The following is a 21,414-nucleotide window of genomic DNA, read 5'->3' as shown; positions in this document are numbered from 1 at the left end:
CTAGAATCAGAAATACCATTTGACCCAGCAATCCCCTTACTGGGCATATACCCAAAGGTTTATAAATCATTCTACTATAAAGACACATGCACACATATGTTTTTTGCAGCACTATTCACAATAGCAAAGATTTGCAACCAACCCAAATGCCCATCAATGGTAGACTGAATAAAGAAAATGTGGCACATATACACCATGGAATATTATGCAGCCATAAAAGGATGAGTTCATGTCCCTTTGCTGGGACATGGATGAAGCTGGCAACCATCATTCTCAGCAAAGTAACACAGGAACAGAAAACCAAACACCACATGTTCTCACTCATAAGTGGGAGTTGAACAATCTGAACACATAGACACAGGAAGGGGAAAATCACACACCACGGCCTGTCATGGGGTGGGAGGGCTAGCGGAGGGATAGCATTAGGATAAATACCTAATGTTGATGATGGGTTGATAGGCGTAGAAAACCATCATGGCACGTGTATACCTATGTAACAAACCTGCACGTTCCGCACATGTATCCCAGAACTTAAAGTATAAAAAAAAAGATCCTGATATATGTAATTATCTAACAGGAACAAGCACATATCAGGCTCTTAATAAATACCAGTAGGATGAATGAATGTTTATGATAGGGAGGAAGTAGGAAACTTACTATGTGTCTGGGGAATTAGAAGGTACCTACCACATTGAACCTCATGTAATCCTCACAGCTACTCTATGAGGCAGTGACTATTACCATTTTCGTCTTACTAATGCAAGAAATGAATTTTTGAGATGCTTACTGTGTAACTTATTGGAATATTATCATCAGCTAGGTATTGTATAAATTGCTTTACATAATTATCCCATTTAATCTTTATAACAATCTTATCTGATAAGTACTGTTACAATTTTTCAGATGTTACAGAAAACTAAAGTTTAAAAAAGTTAAGAAGCTTGCCCTAGGGCAGAAAGAGTGCTCAGTTAGATCCAAAGTCTGGAATTCTGATGCTTTATCACTGAACAGCCCTGGGTCTTCTCTGTTGAATAAGTCGTGGCTCACAAGGCACATCAGGGCTGGAGTTACAATTTAACTTCAGATTTCACAACTGTATTAGTTCCTTCCCATGCTGCTATGAAGAGATACCTTGAGACTGGGTAATTTATAAAGAAAAGAGGTTTAACTGACTCACAGTTTTGCATGGCTGGGGAGGTTTCAGGAAACTTACAATGATGGGGGAAGGTACCTCTTCACAGGGTGGCAGGAGACAGAATGAGTGCTGAGCAAAGGGGGAAGCCCCTTAGAAAACCACCAGATCTTGTGAGGACTCACTATCATGAGAACAGCATGGAGGGACCACCCCCATGATCTAATCACCTCCCATGAGGTCCCTCTCCCAACACATGGGGATTACAATTCAGATTACAATTCAAGATGAGATTTGGGTGGGGACACAGAGCCAGACCATATCAACAACTCATTCTGTTTCACCTAGAGCACACTCTCCTGCTGGGTCACTACGTACAACTTTAAGTATTGAAGAACTAACAATTGAACATTGTCAAAATATCTGTTCTTATATTAAATGTCTTACAGGAATTATAAACTCATCATAAATGAAACAACATTTTAAAACTGGTTTTGCAGAAATTCTCTAAATGAAAAAAAAAACAAAAAAATACAAGTTCTGCTCTCTTGGAGTGGTGTTTGTTTGCTTGTTTTATGATGGTTAAAACTTGCAGAGACTCAAAATTCCTCATTAACGTTAAAACAGTTGCTGATATACAATGAATTCATCTTTAAATGTAGGCAAGAATCACCCTGATTCTTATTTTGTAGAGGATTGAGGGGAAAGCAAAAGCCCTCCATATAAGATGAGGACTTCAAGATCTGTAAGTAAATGACAAATATGTCCTATATTCCAGCAGACCAGAACATCTAAAACTTTGATACACAAATGGTTTGGTGCTGGGAAATTCTGTAGTGCAATTTTTTTTTTTAGGTTTTAAAATATCTATGCCTCTCTCCTCTCAAAAGAGATATAGAAATACATGCTATTTTTATAAGTTTATAGTACATTTTATATTAAGATCTTTTTGAAAATTTAATGACACTACCTGCGCTACAGTGCCATGCTACAAAATAAGAATTCGGAATCACTGGTTGAGTGCTACCAAAAACCCCAGCTATATAATTGCAATAAGTGCTGAGTCATGGGAAAATCGTTCTGTGGAAGCCAAGTGCCAAAAACATCACTCCACAAACAAAGACTGAAAAGTATTTAGTGGAATATAGGAGATGGGATATATCCACAAAACTATAATGTAATTTAATTCTGCAAATATTTATTAAGAATCTATTTTATGCCCAGAACCATATAGATCTGGTCTTAGATACAATGGTAAATAACTTCTGGTTTCTGCCATCTTGTAATTCACAATCTAGTGAAGGAAATAAAATATACATTATATACTAAAAAAGGTAGAGGGGAATATAAAGTTTTAAATAACAAGCTCTGAGAATACTGGGGCTGAAAGAGATCAGTTCCAGGGAGAAAGATCTGGAATCAGTCCTTGTAGGTGCTTCCTACTCACCTACAAACCAACAGGGAAAGTATGGGTACACATCAGTGAGGATAGCAGTTCAGTGGAATGCTTAACTGCCTTAATCCTACTTTATCATCCTGAAACATCAGACACCTTTAGTTACTCTTTCCTTCTCTCAGTTTCTCCTCATTTTCCTTCTTTCCCTCTCCCACTGCCTTTGTCTCTCTCTCCTTCTTCCTCTTCCCCTCCCTCTTTACCCTTCCTCTATCTGTCTTTCTGTCTCTGTCTCTCCCTCTCTCTTCTCTCCATTTTTCCCTCCTCTTCTTATCCATAGTAATGCTTCCTACCAGTGTTTCTACAAGTTTCTTTTATCTGCCATGTACTCCCTCTGGTAACAATATTCTTCATACCTCCAAAATATGCTGATGTCTCCAAATCTACATTCCTTGTTCTACCTACTGTCTGCATTTGAAACCTTTACATCAAACTGTACTTGATTATCCTATTGATGCCTAAACTCATTATGTTTCAAACCATATTCAGTTTCTTTCAAATGTGCTTCTCTTCCTGAAATCTCTATCCTATGAGTGGCACCACAATCCACTGAGGGAGTGGGGATAAAAGACTGAGGAATACCCTAACCTCATCTCACTCATTCCTCTTCCAGAAAGCCAGCAAGGCCTACGGATTCTGTACTTCATCAGTGTATCCCTTGGTTCTACCCTCTTTATGACCTTGGTAATAGCTTTAAGTCAGTCCTCATCGCCTTTTCTTTTCTTGTATCCCCCCTTTTTTTTTGTATCCAACCTGTCACCTGTCTTCTTGCTGCAAAGTAAGACTTCTTAATCTGAAACCAAAATTTCTTGACTCAATATTTATGCTGAACATTATATGAAATAACAGGGGTTTCACACTCCTGGGTAGGTTTGCACGTAAGACACCTACCTATCTCCCTAGCCTCAATACTCAAGGCTGTTCGTAATCAGCCGCCAGCCTCTTCATCACCTCTCAGCCCCTCAATTTTACCATATTACTTTCAGGGATTAAAAAGCATTATACCGTATAATACCTTTATGCCTGCCAACAATATTTTGCCTAGGACTTTTTCCGTCCTCTCATATAGTAATCCAGTCTTCAAAAGTCAGCTCAATTATAATCTACTCCTCAACGGTCCACAGTTTCATTTATATGACCTTTCTCTGCTACCACAGAACACATGCACACTTTTATTAAAATTATTCTTCATTTACACACATTTCCTTCTCCTTAAACTAATCGTTTTTAACCTTTTGGGAGAGCCATTTAAGTTAAATTATGGAGATTCTAATAAACACTTTAGACACACATTCTAGAAAAATGTGTTCACAATTTCAGGTGCACACGGATACCTATACAAGGATTTCCCAAGGAATCCCCATGGACTCCAGAACAAGTGCCATTCCTAGATAAAAAGCTCCTTGAAGATAGAGGCTATATTTCTTTATTTGACTTTCTTTTCCCAATATCTAACACAATGTCTAGCATAAAGTACTGTAATCCCTCAATAAATGTTTATTAAATGAGCAAAGAATAGGTCTTTGACATTTGGATATGTCAGAGAGATGGAGGAAGAAAAGAGGTCTTTTAAGACAGATGAAACAGCTTGATGGACTGTGCATTCCATAAAAGGAATTAGTTTTAACCGTACAGACAATGTGTACCTAGTTTACTTTGGAAGGGGTTAAAACAGTAGGTAAAATTTAGGGTTCAAGTAATGCTTTTAAAATGAAGAAAATATAAACTGAAGGCCTCATAAGCATAACTATGTATCTGAAAATTATTGAATGGATAAACTTTAAGAATATGTAATTTGGGCTGCTCATCACCCCCCAAATTGCCTGCTTTCAGTGCCTCCAGCTGAAAGATAGACTACTCTATGTAATTAAATAATAGTGGAATTAATCAGAACAATCAACAGATTATTGAAAATCACATCTAGTACATTGCATCATGCTAATCTGACTCAAGGAGTGTGTGTTTTCACGTGGCTCACTAGTCATTGGTAATTGTATGGTTGCTCTGAAAATTCATGTTTACTTCTCCAAGACAGGATCAAAAGATTAGATTACAATAACCACTACAATAGCAATGTTGTAATGTCTTCTTTTAGTAGTTTCATAGTTTGAGGTTATAAATTTAAGACTTTAATCAATTTTGAACTGATTTTTGTATATGTCAAGAGATAGGGGTCTAGTTTCATTCTTCTGCATATAGATATCCAATTTTCTCAGTACCATTTATTGAGTATAGTAGCATAAGAATTCAGTCCAAGAAATATACCCCATCTAGTTTTTCTCTTCTACCTTTTGTTCTAAAAGTGTCCCTGCTGGGGAGTAGTAAACAAATGAAATGATTAATGATTAACTCCCAAAATTGAATACACATTAATGCTCTCATTCCTTTCACAGCCTAAATTCTAATTCATAAAATATTAAATATATAACATTATATATATTGTATATATTTGAAGAACATTTTTTAATTTTTAATTTTTGTGGGTACATAGTACATGTATATTTTATGGGTTACATGAGATATTTTGATATAGTCATACAATGCATAATAAAGTAAATGGGGTATCCATCAGCTCAAGCATTTATCCTCTGTGTTACAAACAATCCAATTATACTCTCTTATTTTTAAATATACAATAAATTACTGTTGACTGTATCGCCCTGTTGTGCTATCAAATACTAGGTCTTATTCAATCTATCTAACTTAATTTGTGTACCCATTAACTGTCCCCACATCCTGACACTCCCTCACTATCCTTAGCCTCTGGTAACCATCCTTCTACTATCTCCATGAGTTCAATTGTTTTAATTTTTATCTCCTACAAATGAGTGAGAACATTTGAAGTTTGTTTTTCTGTGCCTGGCTTATTTAACATAATGACCTCCAGTTCCATCCATGTTGGTGCAAATGACTGGACCTCATTCTTTTTTATGTCTGAATGGTGCTACATTGTGTATAGGTACCATATTTTCTTTATCCATTCTTCTGTTGATGGATACTTAGGCTGTTTTCCAATGTTGGCTATTGTGCATAGTGCTGAGAGTGCAGATATCTCTTCCATATACTGATTTTCTTCCTTTTGTGTATATAGCAATGAGATTGCTGGATCATATGGTAGCTCTATTTTTAGTTTTTTGAGTTTTCCATAGTGGTTGTACTACTTTACATTGCCACCAACAGTGTATGAGGGTTCCCTTTTTTCCACATCCTTGCCAGCATTTGTTATTGCCTGTCTTTTGGATAAAAGCCATTTTAACTGGGGTAAAATGAAATCCCATTGCAGTTTTGATTTGCACTTCACTGATAATCAATGATATTGAGTATCTTTTTATATACCTGTTTGTTGTCTTTTGAGAAATGTTTATCCAGATCTTTGGCCCATTTTTGTAATTGTATTATTAGATCACTTCCTATAGCTTTGTTTGAACTCCTTATATATTCTGGTTATTAATCCCTTTTCAGATGAATAGTTTGCAAATATTTTCTCCCATTCGGTGGGTTGTTACTTCACTTTGTCGACTGTTTCCTTTGCTATGCAGATGCTTTTTAACTTGATGTGATCCCATTTGTCCATTTTGGCTTTGGTTGCCTGTGCTTGTGGTGTATTATTCAAGAAATCTTTGCCCTGTCCAATGTCCTGGAGAGTTTCCCTAATGTCTTCTTTTAGTGGTTTTATAGTTTGAGGTTATAAATTTAAGACTTTAATCAATTTTGAATTGATTTTTGTATATGTCAAGAGATAGTGTGGTCTAGTTTCATTTTTCTGCATATAGATATCCAATTTTCTCAGTACCATTTATTGAAGATACTATCTTTTCCGAAGTGTATGTTGCTGGCACCTTTGTTGAAAATGAGTTCACTGTAGGTGTATAGATTTGTTTCTGCGTTGTCTATTCTGTTCCATTGGTCTATGTGTCTGTTGTTATGCCACTACCATGTAGTTTTGGTTACTATAGCTCTGTAGTATAATTTGAAGTCAGGTAATCTGATTCTTCCAGTTTTGTTCTTTCTGCTCAAGATAGCTTAGGCAATTCTGAGTCTTTTATGGTTTCATAAAAATTTTAGGTTTTTCTATATCTGTGAATAATGTCATTGGTAGGGATTGCACTGACTCTGTTAATTGCTTTCGTTGGTACGGACATTTTAACGATATTGATTCTCCCAATCTATAAGCATGTAATATCTTTCCATTTCTTTGTCTTCTTAAATTTCTTGCATCAATGTTTTATAGTTTTCATTATAGAGATCTTTCACGTCTTTGGTTAAGTTCTAGGTATTTCAGTTTATTTGTGGCTATTGTAAATGGGTTTGCTTTTTAAATTCTTTTTCTGATTGTTCACTGTTGGCATATAGAAATGGTACTGATTCCTGTATGTTGATTTTGTATTCTGCAAATTTACTGAATGTATCAGTTCCAATAGTTCTTTTGGTGGAATCTTTAGGTTTCTGCAAACATAAGATCATATCATTTGCAAACAGGGATAATTTGACTTCTTTCTTTCCAATTTGGATGCCATTAATTTCTCTCTCGTCTGACTGCTCTAGCTAGAACTTCCAGTATGGTGTTGAATAACAGTGGTGAAAGTGGCATCCTTGTGTTCCAGAACTTAGAGGAAAGGCTTTCAGTTTTTCCCCATTTAGAATGATACTAGCTGTGGGTCTCTCATACATGGCTGATATGGTTTGGCTCTGCATCCCCACCCAAATCTTATCTTGAATTGTAATCCCCACATGTCAGCCTTCTGCCACGATTGTAAGTTTCATGAGGCCTCCCCAGCCATGCAGAACTGTGACTCAATTAAACTTCTTTTATTTATAAATTACCCAGTCTCATGTAGTATCTTTACAGCAGTGTGAAAATGGACTAATACAATTGGCTTTAATTGTGTTATGTTCCTTCTATATCTAATTTTTTGAAGGTTTATATCTTGAAAGTATATTGAATTTTATCAAATGCTTTTTTCAGCATCAGTTGAAAGGATCAAAAATGGTTTTTGTCCTTCATTCTGTTGATATGATGTAGCACATTGATGAATTTGCATATGTTGAATCATCCTTTCATCCCTGGGATAAAACTCACTTGGTCATGGATGAATGATTATTTTAATGTATTGTTGAATTTGATTTGTGAGTATTTTGTTGATGATTTTTACATCAATGTTTATCAGGAATACTGACCTATAGTTTTCCTTTTTTAATAAGTCTTTGTCTGATTTTGGTATCAAGGTAATACTGACCTCATAAAATGAGTTAAGTATTTCCTTCTTCTCTATTTTTTTGGACTAGTTTGAGTAGGAATGATATTAGTTCTTTTTTAAATGTTTGGTAAAAGTCAGCAGTGAAGTCATTGAGTCCTGGGCTTTTCTTTCTGGGATACTTTTTATTACAGCTTTAATCTCATTACATGTATTTTAGTCCATTCTCACATCTCTATAAAGAACTACCTGAGACTGGGTACTTTATAAAGAAAAGGTGTTTAATTGGCTCACAGTTCCACAGGCTGTAAAGGAAGCATGGCTGGGGAGGCCTAAGGAAACTTATAATCATGGCAGAAGGTGAAGGGGAAGCAGGCACATCCTACATACCTGGAGAAGGAGGAATAGGATGAGAAGGGGGAAGTGCTACACACATTTATACACAACAAGATCTCATGAGGACCCACTCAGTAGCATGAGAACAGCAAGGGGGAGGTTCACCCCCATGACCCAATCACCTCCCTCCTCCAACATTGAGGATTACAATTTGGACAGGAATACAAATCCAAACCATATCAACATTATTATTGTTCTGTACAGATTTTGGATTTATGGTTCAATCTTGCTGGGTTGTATGTTTCTAGGAATTTATCCATTTTTTTCTAGGTTTTCCAATTCACGGGCATATAGTTGCTCATAGTAGCCTCTAATGATCATTTGAATTTCTGCAGTATTGGCTGTAATGTCTCCTTTTTCATCTCTGATTTTATTTATTTGGGTCTTCTCTATTTTTTTCTTAGTCTGTGTAAAGGTTCTTCATTTTGTTTATTTTTCAAAAAACCAACTTTTTTAAGTTGATCTTCTGTATTGTTTTCTTCATTGAAATGTCACTTATTTCTGCTCTGATCTTTACAATTTCTTTTCTTCTACTAATTTTTGGTTTGGCTTGCTCTTGCTTTCCTAGTTCTTTAGGGGGCATTACTGGATTGTTTTTTTGAAATTTGAAAAACACTATATTGATATTGGTTGACAGTCTAGATTTTGAGGTCAGAAAAACTGGGATTCAAGCCCCTGCTCCACTGATTTTAGCTGTGGTATTTTAGACAAGTTTTTTGTTGTTGTTTTTTGTTTTTGAGATGGAGTCTCACTCTGTTGCCAGGCTGCCAGGCTGGAGTGCAGTCGTGCCATCTCAGCTCACTGCAAACTCCGCCTCCCGGGTTCAAGTGGTTCTCCTTCCTCAGCCTCCCAAGTAGCTCAGACTACAGGTGCACGCCACCACAGCCAGCTGATTTTTGTATTTTTAGTAGAGTCGAGGTTTCACCATGTTGGCCAGATGGTCTCAATCTCTTGACCTCATGATCCACCTGCCTCAGCCTCCAAAAGTGCTGGGATTGCAGGCGTAAGCCACAGCGCCCAGCCAGTTATTTTACAGTTGAGAAAATTAGGGTTTTAAGAGGGTAAAGAAAATTTAATCTTACAAAATGGTACCTCTAAGTTATTATTTCAGTAAGTACATTTTTCACATTAAATCTGAAAGTAGTTATGTAGATTTGTATTTGACATTGCAGGAAATATTTACTTTCATGGCATCTAATGAGAGTTCAACATTATAGCAGCCTAAATTTTAGAATTCCTAGTAATCATTTAAAATAATATAAATTGCAGATGGACAGTCCAGTAAATGCTCATTTAAGACCCTCAATAAGTATTAAGCAAAGAATTTAAAAGGAACACATGACAATTATATTGAGGCATCAAATGTAGATAGCCTTTCCAAGAATATTTTTACATGATCATTTCACAAATATGAAAATGAAATACACAAAACAAGTTTCCTGTTGTTACAAAAGCTATTAGAATTAGATGTATGAAGAAAAGCCATTGATCTGTATGTCTAGAAACCACCTTGAAAGGAAATCAAATCTGCTGTGTAACAACCAACACTTGTTAAGCTTTATGTCAGTTATTTAGTACTTAGAATAATTTCAATTTTTCATGTTTTACATAAGAAAAGAAAGTTGTTTGCTTTCATGTCAACACCTGCTTCCTTTTAGCCAAAAGAAGCAGGTAAGGGAAGTCAAAAACTTCCCTGGCTTTGGACCAATTAACAAATATGACATTTAATTCTTCATTATGGAGAGGAGGTAAACATCGGGTCAGTATTTAAGCCTGTTCCTGCTGCTGGGGGGCATTGGTCCAAGACTGAATAGCATCTCTGGGCAATGGACAAGCAGGCAAGAGACGAGAAATAGGGAACTTCAGTGCAAGAACAATAAGAGGTCTCTCTGCTCATAACAGCGTCACGCTGACCACTCCCTGGAGGAAAGCTTGTATCTTCCTCAGGACAGTTTATTAGGACCTTGAGGTTGGATCTCTGAATGCTCACTCACAAGGGCCCCATGAATCAGGACAGATTTTAGGTCCATCCCCTTTGGCTCATCTGCTGAACAAACCAGGAAAATGCTTATTATGCAGATCAGCTCAGCAGTCTGCATGATTTAAAATTTAATCCTTATATATTCTGAATGCTGGCACACATCTATTATTTACAGGATGAAGAATTTATAGCCACTACATAATAGCTTTTGGTGGGCGTGGAGGGGAGCTAAGTACAGAAATTCAAAGATTTTTGCCTCCATTTTTCTGTGAAACTTTTATAGAGCTAATGACTTGTCTATGATCAAAAAACTAGTCACTAGTGAATCTTAGATCCAATCTAGAAATCTCTGATTCCCTGTTGGTATTCCGTTTATGAGTCTGGTGGATGGGGTGAATAACCTCACTACACCTCATAATACTGGGAGGAGTTTCCCTCTACAAATTAAAATGGACATATTTCTCATCTAGATCCCAGAAAAAAAAAAAAAAAAGATGTATCAGCAATCTCTAAAGTCCTGTTTCAGATCCTCTAGTCTTCTCCTGTCTCTTGGTCTAGCTGCTGTTATAGTACTCTTTTTTGTTTGTTTTTGTTTTGCTTTGTTTTATTCTGTTTTTGAGACAGAGTCTCGCTCTGCTGCCCAGGCTGGAGTGCAGTGGCACCATCTCGGCTCACGGCAGCCTCCACCTCCCAGGTTCAAGCAATTCTTGTGCCTCAGCCTCCTGAGTAGCTGCAATTACAGGCACATGCCACCATGCCCAGCTAATTTTTTTTGTATTTTTAGTAGAGATGGGGTTTCACCATGTTGGTCAGGCTGGTATCAAACTTCTAGCCTCAAATGTTCCACCCGCTTCAGCCTGCCAAAGTGCTGGGATTACAGGTGTAAGCCACCTCATCCAGCCTGTCATAGTACTCTTTATGGGATCTGAGGCAACCTGACAACACCTTATCTCATGCGGGTGGAGATGCGTTGTACCACTCACCTCCTCCCTAGAGTGACATGGACTGAGACCCCATATTATGTTTACACATGCCTAACCTAGAAAAACAAGTGTGTCAATGTCCTGTAGAACACACCCTTAACCAGGGGAATAAAAGGAGATTTTGGGTAATTCTTTACCCTTCTTCCTCACTAATGGATTATTCTGAACAACAGTTTGTATGACTTCTTAAGGACCGTCTTTTTGTCTTTTAGGATCAAGCATTCTTATCTTGACTCTTTCTCCTTTCCTGCTTCACTGCCTACAGTGTAAGGGAGGAACACGCTATCATTAAGACTGAAGTCCTCTGTATGTATCATTCAGAAGTCACTATTGTAAGGTATAGTTAGCATAAATCATGCTGTCACAAGCCATAAAGCCTATTAAATTTGAGAAAGCATAGTATTGCAATGAGAAAGTGATGATGAGAGGGTACATGGAATAAAAAAGGGTAAAAATCCAGACTATTATTGCTAGAGCCGTCTTTATGGATGGTTTGTTCAACCCCTGCATTTTAGAAATAAGGAAACTATAGCCAGAGAAGTTAGGTGACCTCTTTCAAGTCACACAGCCAGTTGATGGAACAGTCTGGGTGACCTCCAGGTCTCCCTGTGTCTCAACAGTCTGCTTCTCCCACTGAATCCTGATCAGTGACATCAAAATTCTGTCCCCTTGGCAGTTTTGGCACACAGAACAAATAATGTGTCATCAGGCCCCCAGAGTTTAATGAAAAATATTCAGCAAGGGCTCCAACTCATCATTCTTGGTGCTCCCACATCTTTTGGGTTATCACTTTTCACAGCTGATTTGATTCCAAAACGGGATAGCCATGATTGTTGTACATAAGTATTCACTCTACCTAATAGCTGCATACCCAAATGTAAATTATTTTGAATCAGTTCTTCAGAGCCCAATGCCTCTAAGTAAATGAATAGTTAAAATTTTGTTTCCTGAATTGGAGAGCCAGAAGACAAGACTTCAGAGCATGTGACTACAGCGACATTTGAGCATTTGCCCAACACAGAAGCCAGACTCCAATCCATATGACTTTCTCCTCCTCTTTAGTCCCAATCCATGAACAAAAAGTTTGCTCCATACATCACATCAGTTTAACTCAACGAACATCTGATGATGATGAGGGTCCACTTATGTACAAGGAGCTGAGTGAATGAAAAGCCAGGCATCCCTTTGAGAATCTGCTCAAGTGCTTTCTAGTTCACAAAAACTTTCAACAGATACAATGGCTCTCTCTACCTAAGGGTCAAAAGTGCTTAACCAATGCACATGAAAAAGTGTGGCATAATCAATATCACACTTTTCTCCTTTCAAGAAGAAACTTTATGAGGGCAGGAACTGTTTATGTGTGTGTTTTGCTGACTACTCTAATCTCTAGTTTCTAACACAGTGTACACCACATGTACTGGCTGGGCATTTAATAAATATTTGTTGCATTAACTTGTCTTCTCCTTGCCTGTAGGATAACCGACTTGTCTCAATTTGCTAATGACTTTCTTGGTTTTGCATGAAAGTTCTGCACCCCAGGAAACCCCTCGGTCCCAGACAAATGGAGAAGATTGGGCATCCTCCTGTAGGAGTTTACAAGCTGATCATGTTGGGAAAACCATGTCTTTTAAAAGTATGTATCCCAAGACTCTGCTGGGCATATAATAAATAGCAAATATTCACTTATCCTGGACACTAACTGGAATGCTTTCAAAAGAGACTGTTTTCCCAGACAATTCCCAAAAATTTACTAATACTACCCTCACATGATTAGAATTATCTCAGAAAATCTTTTCTCTGGCAAAAAATAAAATTGCTTATCGTTAAAATCTGACTCACAGAGATACTTAAGTAACCAAGGATTAGGGCAGTTCAGAAGGAAGAGGAGAGCATAGTGACCTAGAAAGTCTCTGTGAAGGGCCATGAAAGTCACAAAACATCAAAGTGAGGAGAGGCAATTTCCCTTAGTTATTAGTAAGTGACTACATCTTGTAACCCTTCTTTGAAGCAGCAGAACTGGCAGTCCTTTTTTTTTTGGTCCCACATCCTGGAGGTGTGGTATTAAAAACTGTAGAAAGCATTGCGCAGTAGTTTAAGGTTTTATATTAACTTTTTTGATCCAATTTCCCTTTTGTCTTATGTCTCAGATAATGCAATGCATACATTCTAACTGTATTAAAAATAAGAAAGTATATCAAGTAAATAATTTCAAGTGCAGTCCCCACTCCATGCCCAACCCTACCAAAATCTTTCCCTCCCCATAGAGAACTGCTTTAAATAGTTTATTGTGGCTCATTCTTGTGTTTCTCTTGTGGAATTCATGCATATATTATATATAATTTTTTCAAAAGCAGATTCATTCTTTTCTACATATATACGTGTGCATATATATCCCAGAACTTTTTATTATTACTATAATATAGATTTACCTCATTACTTTTCCTAGATTGAAGCTGTACCATATGGGTGTAACAATGTAACTATTTTCTCATTTGTATACATTTAGTTTGCTTCTAAGTTTTTGCTGTCACTATTAGTGCTACAAAGAACACACGTACCTGTTTTACTGTGGTATTGAAAGGTAGGTGGATTTTAAATTTGATATATTCAATTACTGTGTTTATAAATGGTGTATTTTTTTGGAGGGCAACTTGGGCAGTATCTGGGAGTACCTAAAAAGTTGCCAACCTGGCAGGGAAAAGAAATATATTACAGTATCATGTTACTTTCCTTCATTATTAGTTAGATAAGTTTTATTCATTAAATCAACAACTTTTTTTGACAATATGGAAGCCTTCTTCTAGATCCTGGTGATATGGAGCAAAGCATCCTCATTCTCATGGAATTTATCTTTTACTCCAGGGAAACGGACAGTATACAATTTTAAAAAAAACTGTCAGATGTTTATAAATTGTATGAGTCAAAATAAGGTAGTGAGACAGAAGATAGAGAGTAACGTGGGAGCGTGATATTTTACATAGAGGATGAAGGCATCTCTGATAAGAAGATATTAAAGCAGAGACTCAAAGGAAGTGAGAAGATGAGTCACGAGGATATCTGTAGGCAGTAGGGTTTCAAGCAGAGGGATCAGCAGTTGAAAAACAATTAGGCAGAAAGATGCTTGGCATAGTCAATATGTTGGCCATTTGTTCTTTCTTCTGTAAACTACTTGTTTATATGCTTTTTCTATGTTTCCACTGGGGTATTACTTTTTTCTTGTTAATAAATAGGTACTCAATATATTATAGATATTTAATAGGATAGTCATTCTTCACCTTTTATTTATGCTACAAGTATTTTATTTCAGTTTGTTTTTTGACCAGACTTCCATTTATTGTGTTTCTTTTATTGTTCTTGTGAACAGGAGTTTTAAAGTTTTGTGTCTTGTGTCAAGGTTTTCCTCGACAAGGCACTTTGATTTTTCCTGTGAAAATAGGGGTCACGATCCTTCCAGATCAATTACCCTCAACTGCCTTAGTTCTGGCTGCTTCCCCAGCCCTGCTGGTGTTCCTGAAGAAGCTCTTGGACTTGCAGCCATGTCCTAGGAAAGCTGCTGGACCCAGGAACCACCACAAGCAGCCGTCAGCATCTCTAAGACATGGGTCTGCTCCATGAACTCCATAGCTCTATACTGAATTTAAGAGATAAACTTAGAGTGGATGTATTTCTAGGCTATCCTCTGGGACATTCTGAAAACGGTTTAGTAAATTGGTTAGTCATAAATTCTTCCCCATCCCCATATTCCCCAGATTCCATGAAAGTATATGACAGAAGAATGCAGAGCATATTGAGGAACTGACCCCTCAAACCTTTGGAGGACAGACAATTGAAGCGTGGGTTGGAATACTCACTCCTGTATATATTCCAGATCTGGCATAGATCAACTTTGAAATAAATCCCTAGGGCACAGCTCTCAGTTCTGGTCAAGCATTAGAAGCACCTGCATAGCTTTCTGAAAATGCAAACCTGGAACCAAAAAACATTCAAATCCACTAGTCTGAGGTGAGCCCTGGAAACAGTAGTTTTAAAGCCTGTGGGCAATTCTGGTGTACATCCACGGTCAGGAAGCCTGAATACAAACATCAAGTTCACATCTGATCATTTTGCCAATTGTCTATACACATCCACCACATCTGCTCTTACCTACAACTTTAGAGCATTTGAATACCGTGAGCCATTTACACTTCTTTTACAAGAACTTTGAGTGACAAACGTCATGTAAACCCGTGTATGTGCATTTAATTATTCAGTTTTGTAATAATGAAACCCTAAATTTTACCCACCTCCCCGAGAATTAAGGGCCCCTGTGACAACATAGCTGTTCATTGCCTCATATGTATAAGTTTTATTGTTTCTGAATATGAACTTTAACTAGCTTTTGTTCTATTTCTTCCCACTAGTTTTTTATTTTCTCATAAGTAGGAATAATTTCTACTATTTTTTTTTCCATCATAGCATCCAACAAGGTCAAGAACAATACTGGAAGCAGAATGGTGGTTTATAAACATACACCATCTGACCACATGCTCCAGAAATGAGGAAACTGAATAAATCACTATTACTTTTTAAGTGCCAGTTGTCTAAACAGCATAACTAGGTTCTCTATGTACTATCCATAAAAGATGTCTTATTAATTAACAATCATCATAAAAGGACATCAACTCTAAAAACAAAAAAAAAGAGCATCTTTATCTTGAGTACAGTCCTAACTAGAAAGGGAATATCCAACTAGTGTGTTTGGCAAATAAAACACATGGAAATTGAAATATCAGAATGTATAAATAAAGTGATTATTTTTTCTGGAAGATCAAATTTGAGGAGAGTGGGGTAAACACAGGAAACATGTGGAGGACGTCGTTTCTGGCAGCTTTTTCTACTTTTATGACCCTACAAAATCATTGCAGGAGTATGTCATTTCAACCCCAATCACAAGACAGAAAAAAAATACTCTCTGTTGCTCTAACCACCAGACAACTGCAAACCAAGTTTATGATTTTTTCAGGAATCCATGATTCACTTTGAACAAATCAGAGACCGACACAAACTAGCAAGTCTTCTAAGCCACAATGAGACAGAAGTCCACATTTTCAGTCCTCCATTTGAGAAACTGTCTTCCTAAATTCATTGTGAGTACAGTTGGATGCTTTTCTATATTCCCCGTCACACAGCTTTCTACTTACCTCTCCAGCCTTAGTTTCTCCACAGCCCACTCTCTGCCTCCACACACACCCTGCACTCCAGCAGTACTGAGAAAAGCATCACAGCAGCAACACCTGTTTCCTTCCTCCCTCAACTTTCTCAGGAGTCTGTAATTGTATTACTTAGCTCTAGAAAACATTGTGTGGTCAAAATAATGGAAACAAAATGAGATGGAAGGGCTGAAATATATGTGTCAGAACGAGGAAAGTATGTTCCCAATATTATGCCTTCTGCCAATGACTGGCTTTATGGGTACAAAAAGTAGGCCCTTTTCCTGAAGTACAGGGGGCAGCTCTCTGGTGTGGTTTTTGCTACAGAGCCCTTCCCCCTTGGATTAGCAAGGCTAGATCTCACCTGAAACTGCACCGTTGCTCAGCTCAATTTCCTGATTATCCCGCTTCCTTTACAGGTTCTTCCTGAAGCACGCTCCCGACTGAATCACCTGCACCCCAATTACTGCCTCGGGCTCTGCTTCTAAGGAACTTCAACAGCAATAAAGTCAAAGACCCTTAGAAATTTTTCTAGATGTGGTGTGACTGGCTATAATTCCAAGCTTTTTTGGTACTAGCATTTTGTGTCTTTTGAATGTATCACTACATGGAAATGGCCTTTAGTGATAAAGCAAGAAGGGCTGGACTATTGATATTAAAATGAACTTCCCTGAGTGCCATCAAATTATCTTACCTTTTCTCTCCTTCTTACACGCTGTTCCCCACGGTTAGAACAATTTTCAGCTTATTTTTTGTCTAGAAAATTTTAACTTATCCTCAGTTTAGATTCCTTTAAGGAGCCCTCCCAGATCTCTCCCCACCCTGCCTTCCAAAATTTATGTTAGGTGTCTCTCATGTAGTCCTGTAATACAGTACATTCTCTAGACATGATAGATTATACACCCAGGAAGGAGATGGAATGAGTCTATGTTGGTCATTTCTGAATTCCCGGAATCTAACATCACACATGACGCACGCTAGGCATCCAATTTTAAATTTTAAATTTTAAATTAAAAAATGAGGGAATGTGTAAATGCTAACAAAATGGAAGGTATGTTGAGTGGTATTATTTATTCTGTGATACCTAGAAAGGGCTTGGGTATGATACGGGCTTGCGGCAGTTTTTCTTAACAGCTGGACAACTATTCTCTACTCTATCTCTGCTCTCTCTAACTTATTTTACCCTGTCATCTTTCCAAAATGGTGCTGGAGTTGGGTGTGGTGCTCCTTGTTGCATTTGGAGAGATCTTGAATTATCATCATTAGACTGTATGCTGCTCAACAGAACGGACTGTGTCTTATTCACCTCTTTATTCTAAAACCCTAGCACAGTGCTTGGTACACAGAAGATATGCAAGAAATGTTGAATAGGCAAAGGAATTTCATTTCTGGAGCCAGATACATTCATTATGAATAAACTTCTGGTGGAATAATAGACATTGGAGACTGGAAGAGGTGGAAGGTGGAAGGGGGGTGAGGAATAAGAAATTACCTAATGGGTACAATGTACACTAATTGGGTGATGGTTACACTAAATTCCCAGATTTCACCACTATGAAATGTATCAGTGTAACAAAACTGCACTTGTACCCCCAAAATCTATAAAGATAAATTAAATTTTAAAAAGAATAAACTTTTGAACCTGACTTTCTCACCTACACTTCTCATTGTTAACATTGCACTGACCTTCCTCTAGAATCCACTGACTCTCCTCTTCTATTGCCAGTCACATCTCCATGCTTGCAGATATGCTGCTTCCTTGATGGAGAACACTTTCCCTATCTCTTCCGGGCACCCAAATCCCGCAGAGTCCACTGAAGTCTTCAGTTGATTCACAAGGCTTTCCCAGACTCCTCTAGCTCTTGTTGACATTCTTCTCCATTGGATTTCATAAAACTAAAAACCACAGAAATGCTGTCATCTCCTCTAGGGCAAAAGTTCTGCCTTAGACACTGGGAATGCAGAGATAAATAACACAGTGCCCAGAGCATAACTGGCGTTCAATAAATGTTTTTGGAGTTTTTAATAAGTTAGGATAGTGGAGTGGATGTGAGCCAAAAATTCTTTCATCAATTCCTGCAGTCGAGACCTAACTTTTAAATTAGAGGAGAGCAGTTTGGGTCTGGACAAACTGCTCTTCTCTAATTTAAATTGCAGTTCTATTCAGTGGCAGTTAGTGTAAAGAAGTTTACAAATATAACTAATGCAGTGAGAAACAGAATACACTATTAACATTCAAAGGCCAGGGTTATTTTTTTCACAAGAAGAGGTGTCAACGTTATGTTAACTTGAAAAACATGAGTTTCTGATTTAGAATCAATGGGAATTTCAGAAGAGAAATAATTCATATTGTGGTGAAGTGTGTTTGATTTTGGATACTATAAGAAGAGAACAATTGTAACCCGGAGATGAAGCCTTCCCACTCTTTCCTGCCCTTCTCCATTAGCCATAGTTCTCCCCATTCCTCCTCAAAATATCAAGCACTGGGACCAGAACCCACTCTTCTCCTCAAAAGCATTTACAGTTGGCAATTGGCAGAAGCCATGATATGTTCAGAAGCCAATAAGGAAAGAAAGTAGCAAGTAGTGTGAAGAGGATAGGTGCTTCCTGGGAAAAGGGAGGGGCTGAGGAAAACTGACAGGGAAAAGCCTAACAATAAGAAACGCTGGCTGTGAAAGAAAGTGTCTGGAGTTGAAGGCACATCCATGTGGAACACCTTCGGAGTTCTATGTCAAGATCACGACTTATTCTCCTTCAAGAGGCAGAAAGGTGCTGGAGTCTCCAGCAAATTAGAGGAGGCTTGCATAGCCTACAGGCATTTAAATTAAAAAAAAAAATTCCGAATGCAAGTTTGCAACTCTCAGTCCAGGCAGTGAAACTTGTTCTTCGTGTTACTCAGAGAAATACGCTCAATCTGCTCCAAACCTTGGGCTCTTGTGTGGCTTCAAGAATATTATCTAAACCCCTCAGTGAATATCACTGGAGAAGAAGTGGGCAAAGCAGTGCCTGGAGTAGGAGCAAGTACTTCATTACCTGCACCATGAAGGTCAGCCAATGGGTATTAACAGCACCTTGGGCTGGGCACAGTGGCTCATGCCTGTAATCCCAGCACTTTGGGAGGCTGAGGTGGGTGTATCACCTGAGGTCAGGAGATCGAGACCAGCCTGGTCAACATGGTGAAACCCTGTCTCTACTAAACATACAAAAATTAGCCAGGTGTGGTGGTGGGCGCCTGTAATCCCTTCTACTTGGGAGGCTGAGGCAGGAGAATTGTTTGAACCTAGGAGGCAGAGGTTGCAGTTAGCCAAGATCATGCCATCGTACTCCAGCCTGGGCGACAGAGGGAGACTCCATCTAAACAATACACACACACACACACACACACACACACACACACACACACACACACACAAAATAGCACCTTGATGTTGTATTACTGCAGTGAAGAAACAGCCACCTATAAACAGGACCTAAGAGAAAAACAGATATGATCTATACTGTGACTTTCTGTCTAACAGAGGTTAGCTTCAAACACATTTAGTACCCCAAAAATCTGGGTTCAAGTCTTGGCTAGGCTACACACTAGCTGTGTGCCTTTGGGCAAATCATCGGATCTCTCTTAGCCTCAGATGTTCAGATATAATCTGAATGTTTGGACTGGAAGGTCCCTCAAATTCCCTTCAACTCTAAAAGTTAATGACTTTTGATCAACTTTAATTATTATAAAGTTGTGTTTAACAAGCAAAAATCTCAACTGTAACTTCTCCCAGTATTCTGTATAGCTTTTAAGAGCAGAAAGTGTGCTAAATTATTTGCCCTATTACTATATTCTCCTAGTCAACCACCTCTCACACAAGGATGCCATTGTTTCACTCATTAGAAAAGTAGTAAAGACTCTGTCAAGGGACTTTCCTATCATCCAAACACATGTATGAAATACCCTTGAATAAGCAACCCAAAAAGTTTTTCAAAAAAATGCAAAATGTTTATTTAAAGTATGGTTCGTTCGTAGTTGAGATATCTTCTATTGATAATAACTTCATTTTTAAGTGTTAGTAATGGTAACAATAATAATAATACAATACCTAATCTTATAGAGCACTTATTATGTGGCTGGAATCTTCTACATGCCTTAAGAGAATTTAGTGTTTATAACATCCTTATAAGACTGATATTAAGAGTATTCTAATTTTACATGAGGCAACTGAGGCATAGAGGTTATATAACTTGCCAAAAGCCATATAGCTGGTAAGTGGTAGAGCCAGCAATCAACCAAGTCAGTCTGGCATTGCCTGATCATATTCTAGAATTTTGCTGAAAATCATCAAGTTTGGTATCTAGACTATAATGTCTGTAATTTATGTTTCCAAGTAATTATTTAGTGTTCCACATCTCCAGAAGTTTGACACTTCCGTTTTCTGCAATTCTTCAAATACTTCTACATCTGTACCTTTCTCCAAGACCCTTAAATGAGTGAAGTGTTGTCTTCTGGGCTCTTTTACCCTTTCCAATTATAAGGTCCTTGTTGGACATCAATTTTCATAGAATTAGAAAAAAAATCCTAAAATTCATGTGGAACCAAAAAGAGCCCAAATAGCCAAAGCAATCCTAAGCAAAAAGAACAAAGATGGAGGCATCATAATACCTGACTTCAAAGTATGCTGCAAGGCCATAGTAACCAAAACAGCATGGTACTGGTATACAAATAGACACATAGATCAATGGAACAGAATAGAACACCCCAAAATAAAGCTGCACACCTACAACCAACTGATTTTCCACAAAGTTGACAAAAATATACAATTGGGAAAGGACTCCCTATTTAATAAATAGTGCTGGGAAAATTGGATAGCAATATATAGAAGAATGAAACTAGCCCTGTATCTCTCACCATATACAAAAATTAACTCAAGATGGATTAAAGACTTAAATGTAAGACCTGAACCTATAAAAATCCTAGGAGAAAACCTAGAAGAAACTCTTCAGGACACTGGCCTAGGCAGAGAATTTATGACTATGACTTCAAAAGGAAATGCAACAAAAACAAAAATAGACAAACAGGACTTAACTAAACTAAAAAGCTTC

The sequence above is a fragment of the Homo sapiens genome, chromosome 11 (genome assembly GCF_000001405.40).
Source record: "Homo sapiens chromosome 11, GRCh38.p14 Primary Assembly".
NCBI lineage: Eukaryota > Metazoa > Chordata > Mammalia > Primates > Hominidae > Homo > Homo sapiens.
Note: the sequence above shows the minus strand (reverse complement) of the source record.